Source organism: Homo sapiens, chromosome 9 (genome assembly GCF_000001405.40).
Source record: "Homo sapiens chromosome 9, GRCh38.p14 Primary Assembly".
NCBI classification, from domain to species: domain Eukaryota; kingdom Metazoa; phylum Chordata; class Mammalia; order Primates; family Hominidae; genus Homo; species Homo sapiens.
This window is the reverse complement of record NC_000009.12, coordinates 106,657,278-106,680,735: the sequence shown is the minus strand read 5'-3', so window position 1 is coordinate 106,680,735 and position 23,458 is coordinate 106,657,278. Positions and strand designations below refer to the sequence as shown.

The 23,458-nt window shown below is 40.2% G+C and overlaps 1 long non-coding RNA gene and 1 pseudogene across 1 annotated transcript in view; both read right to left on the bottom strand.

Annotated features, from left to right (window-relative positions):
- Positions 512 to 757, bottom strand: RN7SKP77 (RN7SK pseudogene 77; annotated as a pseudogene).
- The window catches only part of LINC01505 (long intergenic non-protein coding RNA 1505), a 63,745-nt gene continuing 41,220 nt past the window's right edge, over positions 934 to 23,458 (bottom strand). The window contains exons 4-7 of the long non-coding RNA NR_104145.1: positions 15,859 to 15,983; positions 13,014 to 14,179; positions 7,797 to 7,867; positions 934 to 1,178 (exon numbers count right to left, since the gene is read on the bottom strand). This is a non-coding gene — a long non-coding RNA (long intergenic non-protein coding RNA 1505). The remainder of the gene's footprint in view (positions 1,179 to 7,796; positions 7,868 to 13,013; positions 14,180 to 15,858; positions 15,984 to 23,458) is intronic.

The window sequence follows — 23,458 nt, the reverse complement described above, 5'->3', positions numbered from 1 at the left end:
TATAATCCCAGCACTTTGGGAGGCCGAGGCACATGGATCATCTGAGGTCAGGAGTTCGAGACAAGCCTGGCCAACATGGCAAAACCCTGTCTCTACTAAAAATACCAAAAAAATTAGCTGGGCATTGTGGCGGTTGCCTGTCATCCCAGCTACTTGGGAGGCTGAGGCAGGAGAATTGCTTGAATCCAGGAGGTGGAGTTTGCAGTGAGCCCAGATTGTGCCATTGCACTCCAGCCTGGGTGACAAGAGTGAAACTCCATTAAAAAAAAAAAAAACTCAAGTCAGACAGTTCTGACTTGGCCTGAGGACTCCTGGGAAGTCTGTTCTGTAAATGGAAGAAATCTGAAAATGAACCAGCAGAAGATTCTAGATAAATTTTTCACTCACTCATTTTCATTTAAGAGATAGTTAAGGAATGTTTACTATATATGGCCCTGGCCACCCATAAGGAGCAGTCTTCCTGAATTTTTCAATTTTCTCTTTAGAGAGGTAATATCACTTGATGATGAAGAATGTAGACTTTGAGAGCTTGTTTAGAGGTTCTAGCAGTGGAGCACAGCTACTCGTATACCCTTCACTGAAGACTGGCCCTCCTCTATTGGGGATGGTCATCCTCTTCAACCAAGCATGCAGCTTTGGGAAGGACACACATGGAGCGGTGAGGGAGGAAGGGGACATCTGCCCAGACAGCCAGATCAGCTGAATCAACCCTGGTGATCAGTGGGTGGCAGATGTCACAGCCAGATCACCCTCACATTCAAGAATGTAGACTTTGAAATCAGGCAAACTGGTGTTCAAATGTTGACTATGCTGTTCACTAGTGTGTGTGAGGTTCTGGGCAAGTTATGGAACTTCTCTGAGCTTTAATTTCTTCCTATAACAAACAGGAATAAAAAGATAATTGTGAGAAATAAATGAGATAAATATGAGATATTTTGATTCATAGTAACTTTATTATGATTCTTTACTATTGTTTGGAATTGGTGTTAGCCTTCTACTTTGTTGTGTCTTTTCTCTTCAAATTCTCATCAACTGTACTGACTTTTTCATTTCCAAAATAAAGCAGGCTCCCTGGCTCCTGCGTTGCCATTAAGTTTCACTGGATAACATCAAGATGGACTTTCTCAAGGCTATGAGGGTATTTTTGGCCACCTGTTCCCTTGCCTCAATGTTCTCATCTGCAAAATGAAAGCAGAGCTACTGTGAACTTCCAGAAAGGTGTGGAAGGTTTGCTTAGCTTTTAACTGTAAGTGCTGGCCATTTAATTGTGTGCCCACTTCAGGATGCAGGGAAAACCCACGAGGACCCAGGAAGTCACTCTTCACTAGGTCCTTGAGGCCTTCTGGGTAATATGTTGGGCTGAGAGCTGCATTTAGACTGTCAGTCATACACTGAGATGGAAATTCTCATTGAACCTTTGAGTTTTTATGAAGCACCATGTGGGAGGCCCTCTGCTAGAAATCGACTTTCGGAAGTGAAGAAGACATGGGCCCTATCTTTAAGGAGGTCACAGTTTAATAAGGGGGGAGGGTGATGAGAGAATTCTTCCTGGAGGATGTTCCACTAGCTAACTTATGGGTAAAAGGAAAGAAATAGGCAGAGAAGAGAAGGAGTGCTGTTTAAGAAGCAAGGGCTCCATACATCTATGCAGGGAAGTGAGAGAGAGAAAGGAGGCTGGGGAGGCGGGTAGAGAGACTGGGGAAGAGTTGGAGGGTAGAAGTAGGCAGATGGCAGTAGAAAACAGGGCTATATAGGTAGGAAAGGGTTAAGGTATGGAAAACTTTTAAGCCAAACAAAGGAGCTTGGACTGAGGGCCACGGAGAGCCTCTGAAAGATTTTAGTAGTGAGTGACACAGTCAAATAAGCATTTCAGAAAGATCACTCTTACTTGCATAGAATCTATTGAAATTGGACAAGAATAGAGGTGGGGAGAAATGATGGGAGGCTGATGCAGTGATCCCAGTAAGAAATGAGGTTGGCTTGAGCGACAGCGACAACAGGAAAAGGCACAGAATTCAGGGATGTTAACAGGCAGAGCGGGCAAGTTTTATTAATCAATTTGTATAAGATTGGTGAGGGAGCTGGGTCAATAGTTATACCTAGTATTCTGGCTTAGGCAAAATGTGCTGATAGCTTTCCATCAATTAGAAATTCAGAAGAAGGAGGAGGAAAGAGAATGAGTTAAGCTTTACATTTAAGTGTGAGGAATGCAGAGTTTGGGACTATGTAGGGTGAGCAGAAGTGTTCATGAGGCAGCCAGGTGGAAATGTGCATGCAGCAGACAGTAGTACTCACTTGTGGATGACAAGAGGGAGCAGGCTGCCATCAGCATCAGGTGGTGGCTAAAACCACATGCATATTGGAATGAATTCATTTGTTAAAATGAAGTTTAAACCAATTGAATGACTAAATAAAGGAAAGAAGGAAGTCACCCAGGGAGCAAGCAGAGGGAAGAGAGAACAGGGCTTAAGGTGGGAATTGTTTTCTGTCTTAGCAACCATAAACATCACCTTGTCAAGACTATTCAGTTTGGTTGTATCAGACTGAAGATGGAAAAACACTTGGTAAGCTACAGACATTATGCAATTCAACTCTCTAAAGACTGGCAGATTTTTAAAAATGCTATGTTTTGCTATCTTTGCAGCCAAGTTGAGTTGTAGCATGTTGAGTCTCAGCGATTGTATAATCTGATGGTCAAACAACCAAAACTGGTAAAACAAAACAAAACAGAACAGGCGGGTTTCCTGACTCAGTCATGACATGGATACAAACATGGCCATGAAAACTGAAAGCAACTGCCTCAGAAGTGCTGACCTACTCCACGGCTGGGCCTATTCTGCTCAGATTTGGAGACCCTTAATCCTAAAATATTTGCTGTCTTTCGAATAGCTCTTGGCAAGATGCTCAGAAGCAGTGCAAAATTTCAGTGTAAAATGTGATCTATTTCTCAGTTTCGTATTTGAGAAGCGACACTTGCATATAGGCTGCTACATGTCTCCGCTCACCCTACATAGTCCTAATCTTTATCTCCCTTCCACTTCCCAAATGCCAGGCTGGTGTCAGAATGGATAGAGGATTAGCAGGAAAATTCTCTCTCGTCAGCCCTGTTCCAACAACACCACAGAACTATTGCATATTCTACCTTTGCTGCAGGCTGAGTGGCTACTCTTCCTTTGAATAGGACTTAAGTGCATGGCGGGAGTCATGCAGTGGGAGTTATGCAGTGGGAACCATCACTGTGTCTCAGAGAGAAGAATTCGGCCTTAAATGATGGGGCCAGAAGTCACACTTGGAGTTTCCAATTGTTCTGTTTTTCAGCCCCCCAAAAGCCTGCAGCTTTTATAAGGAGCTCTCTCCAAAAGCAAACTATACTAGTATTTTTTTTTTTTTTTTTTTTTTTTACTTTAAACAAGAATGTTCTTTGGTTACTCAAAAACACATGAAAAGCAAGAGGGGAAAAATGGATTGGTGCTTCAGTGGGTTTTCCATGCTTGTTTTCTGACACCGTGAATTTAATGCATGTCCAGGTGTCTGCACAAATCAGAGTAGCTAGTATAGTCTGAGCTCTGGGTTTTGTTTTGTTTTGTGCAGTTTTAAGGAAATCCAAAAAAGGAACTCAGCTGTGTTATCTCCTATAAATTCAGGCACTGCTGAGAAGAGTTTTACTTATATGAGGGTCTGGGGATCCTCTTTGGAGGGATCAGTAACTCAGTAATTAAGAAATCAGTAACTCAACAAACCAGCTGATGGGTGTGTCTCATTTTTGTCCCAACCATGGAGAATAAAAATCACATCTTAGTGTCACAGGAAGTGGGAAGGAACTCTTCTTAAAAGAAGAAAGTTAGGGCCGGGTGTAGTGGCTCACACCTGTAATCCCAGCACTTTGGGAGGCTGAAGTGGGTGGATCATCTGAGGTCAGGAGTTCGAGACCAGCCTGGCCAACGTGGTGAAACCCCGCCTCTACTAAAAATACAGAAATTAGCCAGGCGTGGTGGTGGGTGCCTGTAATTCCAGCTACTTGGGAGGCTGAGGCAGGAGAATCACTTGAACCCTGGAGGCTGAGGTTGCAGTGAGCCGAGATTGTGTCATTGCACTCCATCTCAAAAAAAATAAAAAAGAAAAAAAAAAGTAGAAGGTCAAGGTGCACATCTTGGTCCAAAAGTAACAACAATGAAGAAAAACTATTGTGTCTTTTTATATGATAGGTCCTGTCCTGGTGTTTTATAAGCTATGATGCAGTTATTATTACTCTCCCTATTTTACAGAAGAGGAAGATGAGGCACAGGGAGATTATTTCCCTTGCTCAGGTTCACTCAATCAGTGGAAAATGAGCTTGAACCCAGGTCCATCTGACCCCACGTCTGGGCTCCTATCCACTAAGTATACTAGAAAAGAGAAGAGTTATGTGGAATAGAGCATGATTCCATACATTTTAAATGTCTTGAACTCCCAGATTAGTAAAAGCGTTCTAGGATGCCACTTCCAGGGTAGTCTGAATGAACTGAAGACAAGATTGTATAAATAGATTCTACTCAATTAGGGCTGGCAAGAGAACTAATCACAAGTCTGCTCTGTGATCTAAGTCTTGAGTGCAATACACATAAGGAGAAATATTCTGTTCCCCAAACACACATCTCTGTCCTTGCTCTAGTGTGGTGATTATGAAGGAGAACAGGGCAGTGGCTAGAACTCTGTCAACACTGGCGATATCAAATGGCATAGCAGGAGCTGCAGGAACAAAAAGCCCAGGCCCCACATTCAGTGTGACTCTGGAGAGTCACCACGAGGGAGCCAGGAGTTGAGTCATGATTGTTCCTGAGTCAGTGCAGGAATCCTGAAATAAATAGGAGCTAATGACTTCAGTGGAGCGGGAGCACCTGCGTTTTTGCTCAAAGAGATTTCCCCATTGCTTGCCATGGACTGTCCAGATTGCCTTTGATATTCCTTGAACATACCAGTCTGTTTCCACCTAATGACCTTGTTGCAACTCTTCCCAGAACTTCACCTGAAAGGATCCTTTGTGGCCTCCAGGTCATAGTTTTGATGTCTTTCCTTTAGAGAGGCACTGTCTAATCAAATCAACAGCCTTTTCCCAATGCTCATGTCCCAGTCACTCTTGGTCACATAACCCTGATTTATATTTCCACAGCACTTAAATTATCTTGTTCCATTTATTTGTTTCCATATGTTTAGTATCTCTCCCCTTCCATTGGCATGTAGGCTCCATTGTTTCAGACACCTCATTTGTTTTGCTCAGCGCCATATACCCCAGTGCTCGTAATAGTCCCTCCTTTAATAAATGCTCAATAAACACCTCTTGAATGAATGGATGGATAAATGAATCAATGAATGAAATAGAACTGTGTTGTTATTATTATTATGATCATATTGTGCTACCAAGCCCTCAATGACTGGGGGAAACGTGTGGTCCTAGATGTCTAAGATCCAGACAATCCACTCAGTAACTGATTGAGAGGAGAAAAATAATAATCAGGGAGAGAGCACACCTTCGGTAGGCTGAGGCCATTGCACATGCTAAATCATGTAACTACTGCAGATGAGGAAATGTAGGCATAGCTACATAGCTGAGAAGTATAGAGAGCAGAGATGTGCACTGGAATCTCTGGCTCCAACTCTTTTTCTTTGCAAATGGAAGGCTGGGGATGAGGGCCAAGTATAGTTTTAAGTATTTCAATATTTTCCCTATTGTACAAATTGTTCATAGAAAAGTTTGGTAACTTGTGTAAAGTTACTTAGCTAAGAAGTAACAGGGGAACTTCAAGATCTATGTCCCTAATGACTAGGATATAGAATCATCTTCCAGAAAAGATGACAAGGAAAGTTTTCAGAAGAGGCAGCAGAGAATCTGGGACTATCAGGATGGGGATTCTGGGAAGGACACTCCAACATTCCAAGCTAAGGGTACTGCCTGAGCTAAAGCCTGCTGTGTTCTTTTCCTGCTGCCTGACATTCTTACTGATCTGCCTGAAATCCATATATTCTTGGAAACGTTGCTGCCTCTGATTTCTGTATAAATGACACAGCCCAGACTGGAGTAAACAGGATTCATGAAGGCCATTGGTTCTCCTTGAGCCATTTTATCTGTGCTGTCTGTGAACCAGACTCATAGAGTCCTGAGTGCATGGCCAGGTGTGGTCCAGCCTGGAGGTTCTGCCCTGTGAAGTGTGCAGGTATGTCTTCTGAGTGGGAAGTGGTTATAAGCACCCATTTTCATTTCATCTGTAACAATTAAATAGCCTCACAGCAGCCCCTGAGTTGCTGATGGGCTCACACCCCATTGCCATGTAATCACATCTAATCTCATTGAGCTCTGCTCAAAATAGCCATAATTGGTGGTTTTATCCAAATCAATAAAGACAGCTTCTACATATTGATTATCATCCAGGGTATAAAATCATCATCAGTTACCTGGAAAAGAGAAACAGCCTGCCAAGGGAAAAGGTCAGATATTCCATCTGAACAGAGGAGGGAAGGGGGAGGCGGAACCAGTGAGTTTTAAGGTAATAGTATCAAATTACCTGAAAATGCACACAGTATATTCTTGTAATTTGCAACAACAGAGAGCCCAGAAATAGGTCAATCATTTAAGTGAGTCTTCAAGTTTTCTCTTAGCGATGTGCTGAGCTAGCTTGCATGAGCAGTCTTAAAGGGGCTGGAGCCAAGCTACAGAGAGCGAGAGAGCCATGGGGCTCACAACAGTGGTACAATTTCAGTCAAAGAGATGGCTCAAGCCTATTTCTTTGATCCAATTAATGATCAACAGAGATTCTCAGCCACTGTCATGAGTGATTATGGGAAAAGACAAAGGAGGGGGGTGAATAGACCTTTCCATTTGAGCACCCAGGACATGGAGAGTGGGAGGAACTCACCTCCAAAATGATTGTGAGGCATTTTCCACAATAGCAATGGAATACGGAGCCTGCCCAGTTCTAAAGTTTATACTTCTAATTGCAGAATTAAAAATGAACACACTGTTTACTTATTACAAGATAGAACTCATTGTCCCAGTCTTCTTTCTAGCAAATATTGAAACAAAAATTGCATAAAATCATCCAATATCATTAATGGAAGACACAATGACAAGAAGAAAATCCACTCACAATACTGCCACTTCAACATATTAAAACTGGTCTTGGGCAATTCCTGAGTCCAGTTTCCTCTTCCGTTAAATGGAAATAGCAGGGATGACCACAAGATTATTAGAATTTGACTTTTAAAAATTCATTTATGAATGTCCTCTTAAAGTCCTTGCCTAAATGACTAAATCATTTTCATATAGCTGTGATTATTATAGAAATATAAGTGGCTATCACCTTTATCCTTTCCCTTTTAGTTCTTTCTTCATAAATACGCCATTTTAAGAGCTGCATACAATTCTATTAAGTGAATATTTACTTAATTAATCTCCTGTTGTGAGATATCATCTTTCTACGATAGATAATATTTCAAAGAATGTCTATGGCACAAAATTTACTATTTCTTTTGGATTATTTTCTCAATATAATGTGGAGAAGTGGGGTTTTTATGTCAAGGGTATTGTGATACCACAACCAAGGAATTAGAAAGGCTTAACCTGCCAGAAAAAATCCTATGAATGATTTTACTAGAGGGAAAATAGTCAAACCCAAAGGTAGTTTGTAATGCAAGAGTATTAGGTAGAAAAATCAGTACAATTTCCATTTTACAGATGAAGAAAATTGAGAATTTGGAGAGACTGTTTAAGAATAGACAAATATTAATACAATAGTCAAGAAGTAGACACAGCCTTCGCTTACCACAGGTGTTTGTTGAGGAGAAGAGGGCTCATCAACTCTATTCTTGTTGTGTTCTGGGCTGGATGGCTGCACTGGGACAGTGGAAAGAAAACAAGATGTTGAGGGGAGGGAACGTGGTTATGTAGCTTGACAGAATAGTATCTGCAAATGGCTGACTCTACTAGTAAAGATCAATTGTGACATGCCCGTTATTGATAGCTAGGTTTTCATCCCTCAAAGTGGAGGATTCCAGCCCTCCCATTTTGTGTGATGATTGAATAGGGTTCCTGCCAGGTAAAGATTTTTTTACTTCCGTGTACTTCTATGTTTTCTTTCATGGAGGTGAAAAGAGAGGTTAGATAATCTTTACCTGTTTTATCTAACTTAATTATTGCAATTATAACTTTGAATGAGTTCCTTGGGGAGATTTGGTTTATGAATAATGACTATATTTTTAATACATTGCATTACTCCAAATAAAAAAAAATCAGCAAAATAAATGAACAAAATAAAATGAGATCACCAGAGGCTTTTTTTTTTTTTTTTGGTTGTCACTCTTCAAAGTCATGGATTTGATTGTATTTGTTTTCATAAACTAATGTATTCCTAGATGACAATATTCAATATGAACCTAGAAAGTCTGTAGTCTTCCAAATATGTGGGTTACCAACAAATAGGACAAAGCCAAAGCTGGTGGATTACTGCTACTAAGCCTAGAGTTTTATCATTAATCCTGACTTCCTCTCGCTATATCCATTTTCTCTGAAATATGGATCTATTACCATGACTTCAGTTATATTTTCTATGTAGATGACTACAGTATCCACATCTCCAGCCAGAACCTCTCTCAAGTTTCAGACTGGTAGAGATGGCCATCTATCTGCTATCTCCCATGGGATATTTCTTGAGTACTTGCAACTCAACTCAACTTTTATCTTCCTCTGTATTTCATCCCCTACTCCATCCCACCTCTAAATGCATTCCAACTGGATTCTCTTCTATCTTTGAAGTTTCTAGGAATGGCTCTATCATCCAACCAATCACCCAGCCAAACATGGGATTTATCTTTTCCTCCTTAACTTCCCTTTTGTCTCTTGTTTAATCAGCCATCAAATTTATTTGCTTTTATTTTCTAAGTATTACTGTGATTCCCCCCACCACCCCACCCCAATCTCTGTAATATCTGTGCTGGTTTATTTATCATCTCAGGCCTGGGCCAGGGCAACAACTTCTTCAATGGCCCCCCTGTTTCCAGTCTTGACTCTCTTCAATCTGTCTTTACTTTGCTACCAAAACTAATAATATTCTAATAAACAAATGTGGCCATGTCATTTCCTTTCTTGAGACTTTTCAATGATTTAACATGATGTGCTAGGAAGTCAGTAAATGTGTGTGTGTGTGTGTGTGTGTGTGTGTGTGTGTGTATAAAATGAATGAATGAGTATAAGATACTGACCACACTCCTTGGCTCACAAGGCCCTTTATAATATGTCTCTGCCTACATTTCTAGTCACACTTTCTATAATTTCTAACTCACTAATTTTTATACTAATAATTGTGTCACTTATCTGCACAGGCCTGGAAAGTTCTTCCTCGTTTTCTTCATTTGGATAACTTTTTTAAGCTTTTCGGGGCGCTCACTTTATGTGTCAATTTCTGTGTCTCATCCCTTCTAATTTATTTATTCTAACACATCTAATTATCCACACTATGCCAAAAACTGTTAGGCACTAGGAACAAAAATGGCAAAATGGCAAATTAGAGAGACAGACATGGAAACCAATAAATATTATTCATTGAAAGAAAGGTTATAATAGAAGAGGAATACAAGAAAATGATGAACAAGATGAAGAGAAAATAGAAGATTTTAATTATTCAAATCTACCTGTGGCACTTAGGAGCTGGGAGGAAAAGAATCTCAAGCAAATGAACCAATATGTGTAAAAACAAGGAGGTATGAAAGGGGCTGGATGGATGATGTTATGAGTTAAACCGTGCCCCTCCAACATTCATATGGTAGACTCCTAATCCCCAGCACCTCAGAATGTGACCTTATTTGAAGACAGGGTCCTAAAAGAGGCAATCAATTTAAAATGAAATTATTAGGGTAGACCCTCATCCAATGCGAACAGTGTTATTCTTAGAGAAACCAGTTCTTTTTGTTGAAAACTAATAGAAGACAAAGACAATTAAGCAATTGAGAGCTGAGTTTTAGTAAACTCACTCTGGTGGTTGGATAGAGGATAGATCAGAGGTAGGGAAGTGGAGAGGCTGGTTGAACACCATGAGGCTGTGGCAATCCTTCAGAAGAGAGAGGTGGAAAGCTTGGCCCAACGCAGTGGCAGGGTGTTTAGAGAAGATGAAGCAGATATGGAAAATATTTATGAAGGAAAATTGGCAGCAGTTGCTGACATGACTGGATGTGCAAGTGAATGGCACTGGCAAATTGCTTTCATTGCATTTATCCTTGTATTATGAGCAACTAACTGAGCCTATGCCCGAAAGTACAAAGAGAGAAGACACAAACCAAAGAAAAAACTGAGGTAGATAATGACAGATTTCCTCCCAATGTATCCTGAGCCTTGATTCAGACCTTGTGGCACAGTCCAGACAATTGTAAGTCCTAATCCTAATGGTTCAATATTAAAAAAACAGTGGGGACTTATTAAAAATTGGTTATGTATAAAGCCCACAAACAAATAAAAGGAAACTGTTAAAAGAAGTCACCAAGAGAATAATAATAGAAGAAACAAACAAAACATCAGTGGGCTTCCTTTCTTCTGCAGACTGCACAGAAACTGTGATAGGTTAATTTATGTGTCAACTTGACTGGACCATGGGATGCACAGACGTCTGCCCGAGCAATATTTCTGAGTGTATCTATCTGTGAGGGAGTTTCTACCAGAGTTTAGCATTTGAATTGGTGGACTGAGTGAAGTGGATTGCCCTCTCCAGTGTGACTGGGAATCATCCCATTCATTAAGGATCTGAATAGAACAAAAATGTAAAGGAAGGGAGGATTCACCCTCTCTGCCTGTCTGCTTGAACTGGAGCATCGATCTTCTCCCTGCCTTGGCGATCCTGTCTCAGGCCTTCAAACCCAGATGGGAATTTATACTATCATCTCTCCAGCTCTTAGGCCTTCAAATTACACCACCAACTTTCCTGGTTTTTCAGTTCACAGTAGGCAGATCATGGGACTACCTGGCCTATGTCATCAATGAATGTTTGCCAATACTTCGTAATCTTTCTCTCTCTCTCGCTACACACACACACACACACACACACACACACACACACACACACACACACACACAGATTCTCTTGGTTTTCTCTGAAGAACTCTAATACAAATACTCTTTCTTCATTCCTGCCTCCCTCCTTTCATTCCTCCTTTTCCTCTTTTCTCCCTTCAGCAAATAGTTACTGAGCTCGAACTTTATACTAGGTGCTACATTAAATGCTGGAGGTATGTAGATATAAAATAAACAGATAAAAAAGCAAAAATTTTTATAAGGACCTTATGATTTAGTGGACAAATGATGTGTAAACGAAGAATCATAATCTTATGTAGTAAGAGTTGTAGGCACCCAGAGCTGATTGACAATGCCTTGCTCTGCTTGAGAGAACTAGGAGAGATTTCTCAGAAGCTGTGATTCTTGAGCTGGATCTTGGAAAAGGTAAGGACAGGCTCAAAGGCTTGGGAGGATGTGGTATCTTCAGGGAAATGCAAACAGTTGTCTGACTACTGAATTAGGCCATCTCAGGGCAGACAGAAACCAAGTGAGAAGGTTGGAAGGGTGGTCTAGAGGCCTGATCTTGTAAGCCTGACATCTTTTCATTGAAATATTACCAGTTTGGTCCATGAAACAAAAAAAACTTTTGATTTCAGAAAACAGAAAGTATTTTCCAGACTCTCTTTTCTCAAACATGCAGGCTTCAAAAAATAATAAAAATAATAAGTTAAAGAAAAGAATCTAAACTCAGAGAGCTTCACTAGGGCAATAAATGCTTCACTTGGGTCCTACTGTGGTAAACTAAACAAACTTCTCCAAGGCTCTGGGCTTCAGCTTCTTTGTGAGACAGTGTTACATAGTGGAAAGGCTATAGAATTTGGATATAAGTCAGCACTCAATGACTTACTGGCCAAACCACCTAGGATTAGTTGCTTTGTTTCCCTGAGTCTCCTTTTGCTTCCTGGGCAGTACTTACACTCCAGCCCTCAATTTAACTTCCTTCAGAAAAGCTACAGTCACCACTGCTCCTGCTGGGCCTAGGAGGTTAGCAGTAAAATGCACATGTATAATGAGTGAAAGAGGGAAAGCGACTCTCTCTAGTCCTTTTGGGTTGGGCACAAGAGCCACCAGCCAGAACTGGCACAAAAGGTTTGGGGAATCAGAGCATGGCTACATCACCACCTTGAGTGAAGTAAATAATTCAGCTAAATGAAAGTACTCCAGTTGGTAGTTTTTGGCTGCAGCAGAGCCATCTAGTCAAAAAGCATAATCCCAGGGTATGAAAAATCACAAACAATCACAGGACATTGGTACAAGGAGGAGGCTTATAGGCTGTTGATTCAAACTCCTTCATTGTACAGAGGAGAAAACCAAGAGTCTGGGAAAGCTCAGTTAACCAAGTATTATTAGGCATCCCATTACTCTTTTATTAGGAGAAATCTGGTATTAGGAAAAACTCAACATCACCTGAGCAACTGGTTTGGTCCTTATCTTTTGGGTATGGAAAACCTGATTATAGATTGTGTTGCCAGATAAAATACAGGACATCCAGATGAAGCTAAATTTTTGATAGACACTAAATAATTTTTTTAGTATAAATGTATCCTTAATACAGCATAAATATAGAATACTAAAATTATTCATTTTAATCAGAAATTCAAATTTAACTTGGCTTTCTGTTATTATTTTTCTATATCTGGCAACCCTAATTATAGAGTGTCTTTTCATCTCCCATCTTTGCTCTGACTGTTAGGAAGCTTAAAGGCAAATGTATCATCATTGTTTTCTAACAGTACTTTATGGTATGCACTTGGCTTTATCCTGTTTGTTTATTTTCCATTCACCCTTTTCTTCATTAAGAAAATCTAGTTGTTACAAGTATCTCAGTAAGCAACATCAAAAACTTTGCTTGGATATTAACTTAAAAAACACCCACATCATGGGGTACTAATTAAGGGCTATACTTTGTACTCAGTTCTGCAGATGTAAATATAAGTAATACCTTCTGTCCAATCTCAAAGAGCCCTACTCAAGGCGGGGTGAGGGGGAAGACAGTTGTTTATATAAGTAATCAAAATTCAGAGAGATGAATGATGAGGTCCAAGGTCACACAGCTAGTTGGTGTCAGAACCAAGCTGTGTTTCCTTACATTGCATTCCATGTAGTGGGCTAGTTCACAAGAACTTTATTACCCATATCTACCTAAATACCTATGGGACAGTTCAGTAGGCACTGATCATTTGGCCTTCTCAGCACCCATCATTTTTCTAGGAGTAGCATCCCTTTATAGAGGCAATTGCTTCTCTTCCTCAAACTTTTTAATATTAGTAGGATCTTCCAATCAGTGTACTTCTCCATGACCTCAGATGTTTGATTCAGGGTGTGGACATGTGACCCAAGCCAGAGTAGTCCTTCCCCAGGAATTCCCAAATTGGAACAAGACAAAAGGCAGTCCCTCTCTGGTGGCAAAGATGGAGATGAAAATATAAGCAACAGCCATATCCCTTGCAGTGTGGAGGAAGCCAGGCTGAGCACATAAAGTTAATACACAAAGAGTGGCAGAGACACTTGCAGCATTCATGTCTTTAATTTCAGCTGTTCTCAAAGCTATGCTGCAAGTCTCCTCGATCCTTCTAGCCGAAAATAATTTCAGTCATGTTTTTGTCTCTTGCAACCAAAAGGGTTATGGCTAATAGAGATTATTTGAGCTGAATTACTATTGGCATCTTCCCAATGGGCTTTCAGAATAACGTGGCTACAGCACAGTTTACACAAAGCTCATTCTGTCTCTATGCAATGCAGAAAAGCTCCTGTTGCTTTAAAGGTACTGCTAAAAGCAGTATTTTTCCAGTCAGCTTCCAAGACACCGTCAAGATGCTTTCACTTATGACAGATTTGTATCTAGCAAGATCAACCAGCACCATGGTGGGTTAATGCTAAATAGCCAATCTGACTTCAAAATCTCCAAACTAGCTGCATGCTGCTGTTGTCATTGCTTCCATTGTAAAGATGGGGAAATTAAAACCTGGAGAGGCAAAGGAGATTGTTCGAGTTCATACATATTTGGCTAAGTTTATTCTAGAATCTGTGTCTCTTGTCACTTAGAATATTGCTTGTTCCACTATAGTCCTTCTTAAAAGCTGCTATCATTTTTTTAGGATCTTCAATCTGGAAAAAAAAAAACCCATTGATTATGACAACATAAAAAGAGCAAAAAATTCTCGGACTTTATGGTTACGTATTAAAATTAGTCATTTGGGGGAGGAAACCTTAAGAAAGTTGTTAGACATAATATACACTTGAGCATCCTCATTTTGTCTATACATCACAATCCCTTGTGAAGCCTTTTAAAAATAAAGATTTTTGAGTCACCTCCATTCCCACAAAAACCTACTGAATGAGAACGTTTGGGAGATGGGTACCAGGTTTTCACATATTTAAAGAACTCCAAAGATGATTTGGATTGAACTGGTCTAAGGACTAGCATTTAGGATCAGTAATGTAGATTTCTTTTTTGAGAGGGGGGGTTCTATATCCTCAGCTTTTAATTAACAACATTTAGAAAAAAATGTCTCTTGGTTGGATTGATATAACCATTTATACAACCAGTGTAGACATACGATTTTAGCAATGTTATACCTCATTCATTCAACCAATATTTACTAATTCCCTACAAGTTGCTGGGTTCTGCACCAGCCACTTGAATTCAAAGACGAGTCAGATGGAAACCCTGCCATCAAGAAGCCTTGAGGGACAGATAATAGATGAGTATATATGATATTTAAATGAGATGGTGATGTCAGTGTACCATGGGTGGGTGTTCCAGGGAAGAAGCTGGTGAGAATCAGGGAGGGTTTCTTGGGAGAGTATTTGAAGTGGGCCCTGAAGGGCAGGTAGGATTTGGACGTGCAGATGAGAGGAAGATCAACTCAGGCAGAGGAAACAGCACGAGCCAAGAATAGGAGCATGGAAAGAATAGTAGTAATAATAATAATGATAACTATAATAATAATAGCAGCAAGCAATTATTGAGCACTTGCCATATATGCCAATTGCTGTTGTAAGTGCTTTGTGTGGGCATCTCATTCAATCCTCACAACAAAGCAATGAAGTAGGTACTTCTATTATTCCTCATTATACAGATGAGAAAACTGAGTTACAGATAGGTTTAGTAATTTGCCCAAGGTCCAGTGCCAAATAAAGTAGGTGGGGGGAAGGATTTCTATTTTGTTCAGTACGTTTTTGGGGAATGAGTGGATATTTTAATCCAATACTATCATTTCAAAGATGTGGAAACTAAGGTTCAGAAAGGTTAGGATCACTCAACTGGTTGGTGGCAGTGTTAGAATAAGAGTCATTTTAATGCATTTTCCATTATGCCAAGCATGCAGTTTGAGACTGAGAGCAAAATCTTAGTTTATCATTTTCTCTTAATCAAAAATTATTTTGAGGAACTGTGATATCTTGAAAAGTAGCTAAACCCAGAGCTGACCTCTAACCAAGATACAGCTTTTGAATCAGGAGGACAAATCACAAGGGAGAGGGAAGTAAAGCATGGTAGAGTGGAACTTGTTTTGGACAAGTCTTATCTATAAAATGTTCTCATCTATAAAGAGATGCAATTAGACAAGAAGTTTCCTAAAGGTCCCTCTATGTTGGCTATTCTGTCTGATCCTAGGCAGGGCTTGAAACTGAGATTATGTCTGTATAAGTCTCTAAGTTTAATGGACTGAAATATAGCCAGAAATAAATAATCATGCTCTAAGAGAACTACATCTGGAGGCCAGAAAGCAGCTGTTAGGTAAATGGAGAGGGTAGCATTCTTTGAGTTTTTGTTCTTCACTTACTGTTTCAGATGATGCTGAGAAAGTCACTTGATGCATTTATGACAACCTCCAGGACCTAATCCATTTCCTCCTCCCAAAAAATGGGACTTGGCAGGAGAGAGCATCATTTTCTGTGATGCTGCAAACTGAAGAAAAGACAGAGTTATCTTTGGTTGAGGCCACCTGGACGCTTCTAGCTTATTGTCTATTGCTTCACCCTAGAGAGCACGCCCCATCTGACCTGAGTTGAAAGCATTCCCTACTTTAAGTAGCAAGATAGGTTCATGTGTATTCCCTATGTTGTGCTGCATTTTTTAAAGTAAAATAAATTTTAAAAATACGAGAGTTAAGTGTTGCTTATAATTCATTTTGACTGATGCCATTGCATCTAATGCAATATTTAGCTGTTTTACCTGTTTAGAAGCCTGAGAAGAGCAGTGATCCTGGAGAACATTCTCCATCTATTGTAGAACAAGATGGATGGAGAACATTTTTTCCACACAGCAACAATGATTACACTTTAAATTTATACAGCATCTGTCTCTGGAGAGTCTCAGAGAGACTTTGAGAATATTTTTTTCATTTCTCATTTTAAGAAGCCCGTAATGTCAGTTAAAGAGATCGCTTGTCACACGCAGACAGTGAGGCACAGAACTAGCCTCCGGATTTCTTGAAAATTCTTCAGTCTGTAGTTTCGTTGCTAAAGTCAAGGTTGCCCCTGGCCCAGGCACTAAAGAACAGCACTGATTTATCGAGTCCCTGAATTTTGAACACATTGGCAGCTCTCTGGTGAATGCAAAGGCAAGAAAAGATCGTTGCTCTTAAGTTTGTTAAAATATCAGAGTCAATATTGAGCATAATTGGAGAAGAGATTTATAAATATGGAATGGAGAAGTCTAGAGAGAAACCTGAAGTGTTAGATTGGAACTGGAGATACAGGAGTAAACTCATAGCTTTGTTTTAAAATATGTATATATATATACACATAGATGTAGAAATAAACATAGATGTGTATATATATGTATGTATGTATATGCATGTGTGTTAATGTATGTATATACATATGCATATATTTCTTACTGCTGAAAGGACCTAAAAACAATGCCATTCCAGTAGCAATGTGCACACCGGGCTCCCATATCTTGCTTTCCAAATATAATTTTTTGCTAAAAGGAAACAAGGTCCCATGGAAAAAGGGTTGATTCCAAGGCTGAGGCAGGAAAAGTGTAAGATGAGCTCAATACATTTTTGGCACCAGAAAGTAGGAAAATAGAAAAATGCTCAAAGATTATGGTAACAAGTCAAAGGAAATAAGAGTCAGGTTGAAGGGCTCCTGCTGGCCAAATCTAGGACAATTTAACCATCAAAATAAATAAAGATTGTAACATTTTATGCAACCACTCGTTGCATAAAATAGGAATCCTTGAGTTCATATTGATGAGAGAGAAGAGAGAGTGAGAGAAAGAGAGAAAGAGAGAGAAAGCTCTTCCTTATAGTTCCAATACAACTTTATTTACAAAAATAGGCATTGAGCTGGATTTGGCCTATGGGCTGTAGTTTGCTGACCCTCGACTAAAGGAAGCTATTGAAGACTTTGACCCTAAAAATGGCATCATCAGAATTATTCCTTGGGAAGATACATCCAGCTACTGGATAGAAAATGGATTTGAGGGAAGAGCATAAAAGTGGAAAGAAAAACTAGGAGGCTGTTGCAATGGTCCACATGTTTGCACCATGGAGAAACCAACACAGTTTTATAAGCCAAATATACCTGGGAATTTGGCCTCACAAACCTTAGCTGGCACACAGCTGGGTCTGTCTGTCCTTAGCTGACCTTGATTCTCACCATCTTGCCAGTTTAGCCACTCTGAAATCTTAGCCATCTCTGAAATCCTATGTCAGAGTTTGTAAATCATCTTGGGAGCCCAATTATTCTGTTTCTTTGCTCTACAGTGTTTTTGATTTCAAGAGCTAAGTCTGTACTATTTGTATGAGAGGAAAAAATCAATAGAAAGAGAAAGTTTAATAAAAAAATACATTCTCCATTGACTTTAATTAACTTGGCCTTAGGTTTACAACTTTGGCAAGTATGGAAAATGAAAAAGAAGAGAGAAAAAACAATCTCATATCTCACCCTATAACACAAAGCTTTTTAAGAATAAAATCTCAAATTGAAATCTGAATGTATCAGCAATTTATTTGCCAGCAACAAGTTGAAGAAAAAGGATAAAAAAGAAAAGAAAAGAAATTGTCTTATAGGATGTAACAAAGAACAGGCTGGCAATTTTAACTACTGTGATAAATGGCCAAATACCAGAATGAGGCCAATGGTTTATCAATGTCATAGAACACTTGCATGTTCTTCCAGAATCAAATGGTCCTGGCTTTGGTGTCTTCTCCAGTCTCATGACTTAAGATCCATAGTCTTTGAAACCTGTTGGTATTTGCTAGTTTTAGCACTGAAGCTTTCTGCCAGGGAACAAGGTTCTCTCTGGAGGAGTAATGGTCAGGAGGAATGATGTGAGTTTCTGTCTCCTGCCAGGTGTCTGCAGAGAGAAACCACGAATGCATGGATATTTCACAAAATTTCACACCCATGAGACTTTTCTGTCATTTGAAATGATGCAGGCTATTAGTAGACAGGTACAGTAATATAGTATATAAGTACACATGCACACACGCATACAGGATGCTACACATATTCCATAAATTCACATGTGCACTCAATTGCACAATAGATACATGAGTGAACATCTGTTAGCATAGATAAAGCATATATCTCCATAATCAAATAGATGGTGTCATGCAAATATAACATACTATATTTCTCTATACATTTACAATAGGCATTTATATGAAAATACATGTAAGTCTAAAAATACATTTAAGAGTAAGAATACAAACACATCCAGGTATGTGTACCATACATACACACACCGCATCTATATATTATATCCATGTGAGTTACATGATCTGGTCCTCATCATCCCTGACTATTTCCCCTATGACTGTAATATTTCTCCCTCCATCATTATATTCCAAACTATTCCCTGCTGTCCCACAAATGTCAAGTACATTCTCACCTTAGAGTTTTTTGTACTGGTTGCTCCCTGTAAATGAAATACCCATATCAGATCCACCAGACTATGGATCTTAGGTCATGAGACCAGAGAAGACACCAAAGCCATGAGATATCATGAGGACTATTTTATCACTTCTTTTAAGTCTCTGTTCAAATATTAGCTTCTCAATGAAATCTACATAACCACTCAATCATTCTATTTAAAATTGCAGCCCACTCATTCCAGCCCATGTGCTTATCTAAATTACTTTATTCTAGAACTTATTACCTTATAAGATATCATATAATTTACTTATTTATTACATTTACTTTTTATCATTACTCTCCTCCCCTTCCATCAACCCCCGCTAGCTGAAATGTAAACTCTAGGAGGGACAGGGCTATTTTTCTGGTCTGTTCATGAAACAAACTATATTTGTTCACTAATGTTCTAAGCAACTAGAACAGAGCTAGGTTCAGAAAACATTTAGTATATATGTGTTGAATGAATGAATGAATTGATATATATGAATAAAATGTAGATATATATGTTTGCCGAACCACGTCTATATATCATGAGTGGCAACATTTATTCCTATAAACATTCCTATGGTTAAATGTAAGCATATATGTGTTCATATTCAAAGGAACTGAGACGCATTGGTAAGGGCTGTGTGTGTGTGTGTGTGTGTGTGTTTGTGTGTGGAAAGTATCTGCTCCTGTTGAATATGCTCAGCAACTCACACTGAAATGTGAAAGGAGTGGGTCTAAGTGACTCCCTGGGCACCCTAGCTACAGTAAACTATCACTATAGTACATAGAGAGATAAGTCCAAGGTGGCAAGAAGTTTTGGGGAAAAAAAACTACACTGGACACTGGGAGATAGATTTTGGACTCTGAGAACTATGTTGGTTCCCAGAACTTAAGTGTCAGGAATGAACTCTGTTCTCTATTAAACTTGATAACAAACTAGTTCAGAATTTCAGCTCTGAAAACTTTACTATAAGGTGAGGGAGAGGGACAAGACAGAATAATTTTGATTTCTTTAGATTTGGGCTCAAACATACCTCTCTCTTTCATGATTTTCATCAGGCTTGTCCTAGGGAATATGAACTAGCTTTACAGGGAAAGTTTCAGGTCATAAGCCATGACTTTTGGAGATGGGTGAAAACATAAAAAGTCACATATTTCTCTTCTCTGCCTTCCCCTGTTATTGACTGGATGTTTGTGCCCCCTCAAAATTCACATGTTGGCTGGGCGCGGTGGCTCATGACTGTAATCCCAGCACTTTGGGCTAACATGGTGAAACCCCATCTCTACTGAAAATAAAATTAGCCAGGTGTAGTGGAGGGCGCCTGTAATCCCATCTTCTCAGGAGGCTGAGGCAGGAGAATCTCTTGAACCTGGGAAGTGGAGGTTACAGTGAGCCGAGATTGCACCATTGCACTCCAGCTTGGGCAACAAGAGTGAAACTCTGTCTAAATAAAATAAAATAAAATAAAATTCATATTTTGAAACCTAATCCCTCATGTGATGGCATTTGGAGGTGGGGCCTTTGGAAGGTAATTACGTCATAAGGGCCCTGCCTTCATGAACAGGAGTAGGATACTTATAAAAGAGGTCTCTGCTGGGCGCGGTGGCTCGCGCCTGTAATCCCAGCACTTTGGGAGGCCGAGGCGGGCGGATCATGAGGTCAGAAGATCGAGATCACGGTGAAACCCTGTCTCTACTAAAAATACAAAAAATTAGCCCAGTGCGGTGGCAGGCACCTGTAGTCCCAGCTACTTGGGAGGCTGAGGCAGGAGAATGGCGTGAACTCGGGAGGCTGAGCTTGCAGTGAGCCCAGATCATGTCATGGCACTCCAGCCTGGGCGAGACTCCATCTCAAAAAAACAGTTAAAAAAAAACGATCTCAAGAGAGATCCCTCACCCCTTCCACCATGTGAAGACACAGCAAGAAGGCCCAGACCAGAAACCAAATCTGCAAGTGCCTTCATTTAGGACTTCCCAGACTCCAGAACTGTGAGAAATAAACCTGTTATTTATAAGCCTCCTAGTCTGTGTTATTTTGTTATAGCAGCCAAGATGGACTCACACATCTTTCTTTTTCTTTTTCTTTTTCTTTCTGTTTTTTTTTTTTTTTTTTTGATGGAGTCTCACTCCCATCCTGCAGGCTGGAGTGCAGTGGCATAACCTCAGCTCACTGCAACCTGCAACCTCCGCCTCCCAGGTTCAAGCAATTCTCCTGCCTCAGCCTCCTGAGTAGCTGGGATCACAGGCGCCCACCACCACGCCCAGCTGATTTTTGTATTTTTAGTAGAGATGGGGTTTCACCATGTTGGCCAGGCTGGTCTTGAACTCCTTACCTCAGGTGATCCACCCGCCTTGGCCTCCCAAAGTGCTAGGATTACAGGCATGAGCCACTGAGCCGAGCCAAGACATCTTTCATCTGTGTGTGTGTGGTGTGTGTGTGTGTATGCTATAGGGTAGGGAAATGTTTTGGAGATATGTTGGTTTTCCACTAATATAAAAAAGAAATCAAGTTCAGATCTGAGCTTCCACAAGCAGGTGGATAGAGACAGCCCATTTTGAGACTCAGAACACCTGTAAGACTCCTGTGACTTCTTAGGGACCATAAGAAATGGAATTGTCCTATCTGGCTTCCTGACTGCCTTGTAACTCCTCTGTAGAGATAAGGCACATTTCCAAGTCCTAATTTATTTCACATACCTTGCTCTCTGACCTAAAAAATCTTCAAAACATTAATAAGACATAAATACAGTGACCATGTAATTTATTGTCCAAACTGAGACACTTCTGAGAGTAAAGGAGGTGTTATTACTGGTTATGTGTCTTAATCATGTTCTTCCTTCCCCTCATCTTGCCTTCCTTCTTTATTTATTTACATTATTGAGTACCTACTTTGTGCCAGCTACTGTGTAGGTCCTCCCTAAGGCACACAATGATCTGCAAAAATAACACTATCCACCCTCATGCAGCTTGCAAGTTAAGGAGAAAGTTGCAGACACATTCTTTTAACACATAGTTCTCGAGTATCTACTACATGTCTGGTGCTCTTTTAGACACTGAGTACCACGCAATGATCAAGATAAGTAAAGTTTCTGCACTCACAAAACTTAGAGAGGAACATAAAAACTGCATAATTATGAACTATGATTAATTCTCTGAAAAAGAAGTATACAATGCTAGGAAGACCAAATAACACCCAGCCCTAGAGTGTCAGTTTGGCATGACTATTCTGAGAAAATGATGTTTGAGTGCAGATGTGTGCAAGGGTTAACTAGATGAAGGGGAATAGAAGGGGAGAGAGAGATTTTTTCAGGCAGAAGGAACAGCATGTGCAAAGGCCCTGAGGCAGAAAGAAACATGGCATCTTCAAGGAGCCAGAAGACAGCAGTATGATTGGAGCACAGCTGCAGGGTGGAGGGTGGAGGGTGGAGGTGCAGGTGGAGGTATGTGGATGAAATGAGACGAGTCTAGAGGAGGCAGGGAACAGACCTTGTAGAATTTTTTAGGCCAGGGAAAGACCCTACTTTCCACTTTGGTTGCCCAGGGATGTGGCAGGTCCTGAGATAGTTCCTAGGGTATGACAGCAGGGAGGAGGCCAGCAAAGCAGCTGCATAGAGTGCTTAGGAAGATGATTGTGACACATGCAGTCTACTGCTTGATAAGATACAGAACAGTCAGATGTTTTCCTATGTGGTCACACATGGAAAAGGAAGTACAGTGAAAACTGGTGGGACAGAGGTCTGTGGTCATGATAAAAAGATGTGGTCTCAGATGAACTGGCATAGACCACATCAGAGGGTACTGTTTATACTTATGAATTTATTTAGTTTTATTTGTTGAGTCTCTGTAATGAGCCAGAAATCTTGTCAGTCATTGAAGAATTAACCATTACCATAATAGATGCTATTTCTGTACCAAAGTAATTGTACGTTACTTGACAGACTAGGTCTATGCACCATATTTTAAGAGGGACTGTGAAAACTAGAGTCTAGACCTGATAGAAGTGATGAGATGTCTAGACATTACAGCCCATGAAGAGAGCTGAAGATTAAAGGTCAACATGATAATTGTCTTCCTAATGTCCCTAGAAGAGAGTGCAGAAGTATTCCGTTTTATTTTAGGAGATGGGACTTGAAGTAGGGGAGCATTCTAAGGAGGTCTGTCCTGATATGTAAAATAAGAAGACTCTTTTCATAGATAGAAAAGTCTTGGGAGGCAGTAAGGTCCCCACTCACAGGAAATGCTTAAAGTCTGACCTAGTGACCGTCCATGATAGATGCTGTAATAGGAACTGCCCGTAGGAAAAGAAGGTGGTCTGGAAATTTAGTCTACTAAGGGACACAGACATACACATATAACGCAAAGAATGAAATCCAATAGTGGGGAGCAGTGAGGACGGATATTTAATAGTGCCAGATGGAAGGCTCAAGTTTCCTGGTTGTACTCTGGCTCACAGAGCCTTGCAGGTAGCAAGACGTCCTCTCAGGTTTGGGAACAGGAAAGTACTCTGGCCAGATGTTCTGCTGCTCT